The 6062-nt window shown below is 41.5% G+C and overlaps 1 annotated feature.

Moving 5' to 3' along the window:
* Positions 330-379: an enhancer, noted in NCBI's record as "active region_22093". NCBI's record gives its function as "activates an Ori minimal core promoter by ATAC-STARR-seq in GM12878 lymphoblastoid cells {active_cell/tissue: GM12878}" and the evidence as "EXISTENCE:reporter gene assay evidence [ECO:0000049][PMID:35858748]".

Genomic DNA, 6062 nt, shown 5'->3' with positions numbered 1-6062 from the left:
TTTCTCATCTTTGAAATGGACATATTAATAGTATTCACTTTGTGTAGTTGTTTACAGAATCAAATAACATAATACTTAAAGGATTTAGTCCAGTGCCTGGCACAGAGTAAACATTCCATAGGCAGCACCTATGTACTTCAGATGCTGTCCGCCCCAACATTCTCTATACAGAGCCATATAGGAATATAGCGTATTCTGGGATCAGCTTCTCGAGTGCGGATCCTCAGATGTACAGAACAGAGGTAAGTTTCCTTGCCACTGCAATCTGATTATATACCAACCACCTTCCCACTGACTCGCCAAATGAAAATGAAGCATAATAAACTCTTATCCCTATGCCCTACTTGCTCCCTGGTGATCCTGTCCCCACAGGCAGCAGATGCTGCTTTTCACCTCACATCATCAAGCACCTTCCTGTGAGTCACATTCTGTACAGAGTTCTCTGTCACAGGGGCACCCCACTCCAGACCATCCACCTCTGCCTCTTAAGGACAGTCCCAGAAAGCCAGCCATGGGCATGTGCGGACCATTGCTTTATGGAAGGCAATTTAGGCCCTGCTCTCTGTTGTGGGCAAGGCACTGTCTCCTGTTGAACACTAGAGGGTGCTCTGTACATTTCTATAGGAGGTTCTGAGCCTGTACACTAGAGTGTTACTGAAATCACACAAATAGAGAAGCATAGGCAAAAACTTACCCATGTACATACATGTTTTCAGTTACATGGAGAGACATCCGTCCAACATCACGTACATAACACACCTTCACAAAATAGATATGTATATATAAACTAGCACATGTGCACACACACACACACACCCATGCACACAGTAACATGCCCGTAAAAACTCAAAGACATACAAACTAGAAACATGAAACATACATTCAGATAAAGGCACAAAGACCTACACAGATGCATTTACACACACACATGCACTCACACAGATGTACAGACATACACACCGGCAAAGACAGAGGTAGACACCCTCTACAGTCACTTTCACACCCGTGACCCTCACACCAGGTTGGGCTCATCATTTACATATTATAGATGGGGAACTGAACCCTCAGAGAGTCTGAGTGTTTTATCTATCATCACATGGTAAGAGCAGGTAAAGATTAAACTCCAAGTAAGTCCTCCAGTCAGGAGAAACACTATTTCAAAAGAGGTAAGTTGCCGCTCATATCTACTTTTTCAATTACTCCAGTCTTCAGGCCAATTCTGCTGTTATTCCTTGAAAGCTATTATTCTGAAAGTCCCACTTTCAGATTCACTAATTATTTAACTCATGGTCTGTTGCCAATTGAGTGTATTTTCTTGTTCATTTTATTCTGGCCAAGGATCAGGAGAGGAAACATTTAGATCATTCTATCATTGTAACTGTCTGTCAACACCCAGGATAATGGAGGGTGACTCTGTGGGAATTGTTCGCAGCCTTGCTCGCCAGTAAGAGAAGCCAAGAAGAAAGAGGAGAATGGTCTCTGATTCAGTTCTGCCTTTCAAATATCACACAAGTACATGAACTCACATCCAGAATGCTAGCTGCATTAGAGTGTGGAGAATATAGATTTTAACCTTTCAATATCCATCTAGAAGGAGAGTGAAATGAGGTTTGAGTAAGTTGTTCCATAATATTTACCACAGCAAAGTTGCACTTTTTTTTTTTGAGACAAAGTCTTGCTGTCTCCCAGGCTAGAGTGCAATGGCATGATCTCAGCTCACAGCAACCTCCGCCTCCCGGGTTCAAGTGATTCTCCTGCCTCAGCCTCCTGAGTAGCTGGGATTACAGGTGCCCGCCACCATGCCCAGCTAATTTTTGTATTTTTAGTAGACAGGGTTTCACCATGTTGGCCATAATGGTCTCGATCTCTTGACCTCGTGATCTGCCAGCCTCAGCCTCCCAAAGTGCCGGGATTATAGGTGTGAGCCACCACATACAGCCCAGTTGCAGTCTTTAAGTGGTGAAGCCAGGATTCAAAACCACACAATGTGGAGTCTGAGCCCTTCTCTTATTCAATAATCTTACATGCTCTTAAACAAATAATATTATGATTAATGATAATATTTTTGACAAGTGAGAACAAGGATCTCAAAAACTATGTTCTTAACTGTTTTTACTGGCTTCTCCAAAATGCAAAACCTGAGGCAGAAGAGACCTTGCACATAATTTATTACTTTATTAGGGAGCAGAAGTGAGTGACAAGAGAAGGGAAGCAAGGAGGGAGGGAGAACCAGTACAAGAATGCATTTTTGATCTGGCCACAGCTAAATGCAACTCATTGCTGGATCTGTAGAACTGCACCCCTGAGACGTTACATAAAATGCATCTTGGTAGGATTGGAAAGGGTGTCTGGTTTCCCATTAGTCAGAGGTTCACCACCAGGATGTTAATTTCACCATCACTTCCCACTTGCACATGCACCTCTAGGAGGCAGAAGTGACTGGACAAGGATGGTTAGTTAGTGTGGTTTTAATGGGCCTTGAATGATGGCTGGTGGATTTGGGGATTGATTCTGCAAGCACTGAAGAATTACAGAGATTTTTGAAAAGGAAAGTGACATGATCAAAAGGGAAGATTTCCCTAGTTGTATGATCTCTTTATAGAATCTTCATCATCTACTGAAGTGAAATATTTGTGGAAGTTTCCTTTTTATCCCTTGAGAAATTGGCATGGTAGGGATGAATGCCCATTCTCACTTCCAGAAGAGGCAGCATCAAGCAGGACCCATGGAAGATAGTAAGATTGGGTTGGCCAAAAACTAACTTGGCCAATGGATGGGACTTAACTGGAAAGTTTAATTCAAATTGAGAGAACTCCAGAAAGCAACAGAATAATATTTTGGTCTCCCTTGAGGATTTGGGAGTTATGGATTCGGAGGTTCTGCCTTCCCTCCCACCATCTTATCCACACAGGCACCTGGGCAAGGTAAGAGCCTGGCACTGCCAAGCCAGATGGTGGAAGCTTTTGCTGCCAGCATCCTCCAGTGGGATGGGGCAGACTGTGTTCCCTGCCGGCTGGTTTCTGAGTGCTTTCAGTATACAGCAAAATCAGGGTGGATAGTATAAGCAATCTTTCATTCGTATAGCTGTTTATAATATAAACCACTTGTCTAAATATTTACACATTTAATCTCCACAACTTTCAAAACCATTCTGATTCTCCCTCCTTACAGTTCTCTTCTACCCTCAACCAGAGCCATTCGTGAACTATTTATCCTCTCTGTGGCTTAAATGAAAAAAAAACTGGAAAATGCAACAATTCTACCAAATGATAGTCCTCACCTCAGGCTTTGGGGAAGTTATAAATGAGATAGTGTATAAAAGGTGCTTAGCACAATGCCTGGCACAATGAAGGCCCTTAACAAATATTAGCTGCTATTTTCATTATCATTGTTTTTGCTATAGAGTATCACAATATTTTTATTAGTACTATTATCATCATCATCTGGCATTTGGTTCCATTATGAACCTTCTAGAACTAACCCTAAATTATTAGGAGATAGTATAAAATGCCTAGCTTAACACCGAGCATAGAGTGTCACTCAATAAACACTAAAGATGTTACCTGCAGTTTCCCAAGGGAGGAGGGGTACAAAGTCACCGCCTCTAGCACTCAGGGATAAGTAATTCCAGATGCCAGCTCTGAGATCTTTTCCTAGTCACTGGAATTCTTACATGATCCTATGATGATGGTTGTTTAATGGTCAAAAGCACAGACTGTAGAACCAGACATCCTGAGTTCAAATCCTACTCTACCTTGGGTAGTTTACTTAACCTCTAAGTGTCTCAATTTTATATTTAAAATAAAGAAGTCAATTGTACTTACCCCATGGAGTTTTATAAAAATTAAGTGAGTTAATAAACATAAAAGAGCTTGGGAAAATACCTGGCACATAGTAAATAGCATATAAAAATTAGCTAGTAGTGCCTTTCTTTATTCCCTTCTGCCTGTGGGCTCACCTCATATTCTCATCCAAATTCTCCTCTCCTGCATCCTAAACACACACACACACACACACACACACACACACACACACACGGTCCCAGTGTCTGAGCCCCTGATCTGCTGATGGTTCCCAGTTGTAATAGTCTATACTAACACTAAGATACCCCATTATTATTGCAGAAATTCAACCACAAATGGTATGATGAGGTTGGAGTAATGCCAAAACTATCCTCAGGCTTCTGACACAAAGCCACAAAGAGCGACAGTACCTTAGTACATTAACAAAAATACAGAGTTCACTCTTACAAAGACCTACAAGTTTGACTTTCCCAAGTCTCATGATTGGCCAAGTTCAAAGATACCAACTGATAGTAACAAAGCTTTCAAAATCCTCATGTGTAAGCCAGCGTGTCAATTTATAAACTTTCAGCAAGAAATATATTTAGTTAGGGGTTTAGCACTTCATATTATCTAGCCAGCATATTTTGTTCCTATAGCCAAACTTCTCAGGTTACCAGGTCTCACTGGTTTACATGTGAGTTAGTTAACAGATCTAAATGTTAAACTATCAGGCTCTCAAAACATGATGCAATCCTCTCAAGAAAAGGTATATTATCTGCTCAAAGAACTGACAAGTCATTGGGTCAAGATGTTCTCTACCCAGAGTGCACCTATGTGGTCGTTGCCAACATTTGCCCCTAAAACAGGCTGATCTGTTTTTGTTTTTGATGTTTCTATGGATGACCAATTTCTCCCACTTCATTAATTAACATAGTATTTTGTAGGGGAAAGAAAAGAAATATGCCAATAATTTTAGTCAAGACTTGATCTGGACTATAAGATTATATTATGTATATTTATGCTGATGATTCTTGAATAGTTATGTATTTAATTCTTTCAGAGTAGTCTTATTGTCCTTAGTTCTATATTCTTGAAGGACATTATGTTATACCCCTAGGAAGTACCTACATTCTCTTTTGGACTTAATGATGATAGCTGGGCCCCTGGACTAAATATTTATTATAGATTCTATATGATACCGTGCTTGACCAATCAAGCTGTACATGTGCCTATCTGTCTAGTTCCATTCCTGTGCCTTCCCAGTACAATCTACATCCTAAACTCTGTTTCTACTTTCAGATCTTACACACCTTTATTAACGAATATGGCACTTCTGGCCAGGCGTGGTGGCTCATGCCTGTAATCCCAGCACTTTGGGAGGCTGAGGCGGGCAGATCACTTGAGGTCAGGAGTTTGAGACCAGTCTGGCCAACATGGTGAAACCCAGTCTCCACTAAAAGTACAAAAATTGGCAGAGCATGGTGGCAAGTGCCTGTAATCCCAGCTACTCGTGAGGCTGAGGCAGGAGAATTGCTTGAACCTGGGAGGCAGAGGTTGCAGTGAACCAAGATCATGCCCTCACACTCCAGCCTGGACAAAGTAAGACTCCATCTCAAAAAAAAAAAAAAAGGCACTTCCGCTGTGTTATGGGATGAATTGCATCTCCTCACTCCTTCACCATTCATATAGCAAAGTCCTAAGTCCCAGTACCTCAGAATGTGACTATATGTGAGGATGGGGTGTTTACGGAAGTAATTAATGAGTTCACATGGGTAGGCCCTAGTCCAACATGACTGGTGCCCTTATAAGAAGAGACAATTAGAATACAAGCACACACAGAGGGAAGACGATGTGAAGGCAAAGGGAGAAGATGGCCATCTACAAGCCAAGAAGAGAGGCCTCAGAATAAACTAACTCTACCAACATCTTGATCTTGGAATTCTAGCCTCCAGAATTGTGAGAAAATACAGTTATGTTGTTTAAGACACTTAAACAACAGTCTTTGGTACTTTGGTATGGCAGCCTGTGATGGTTAACTTTACGTGTCAATTTGACTGGGCCACAGAGTGCCCACCTGTGGCCCAATTTGGTCAAACATTATTCTGGGTGTTTCTGTGAGGATGTTTTTAAATGAGATTAACATTTAAATCCCTAGACTGAATAAAGCAGATTGCCCTCCTTAACGTGGGTGAGCCTCATCAGATCAGTCAAAGGCCTGAATAGAACAAAAGGCTGACTCTCCATTGAGTAAGAGAGAACTCTTTCTGCCTGGCTGCC

This window comes from Homo sapiens, chromosome 4 (genome assembly GCF_000001405.40).
Source record: "Homo sapiens chromosome 4, GRCh38.p14 Primary Assembly".
Lineage (NCBI taxonomy): Eukaryota > Metazoa > Chordata > Mammalia > Primates > Hominidae > Homo > Homo sapiens.
Note: the sequence above shows the minus strand (reverse complement) of the source record. Positions and strands in the feature narration are given on the sequence as shown.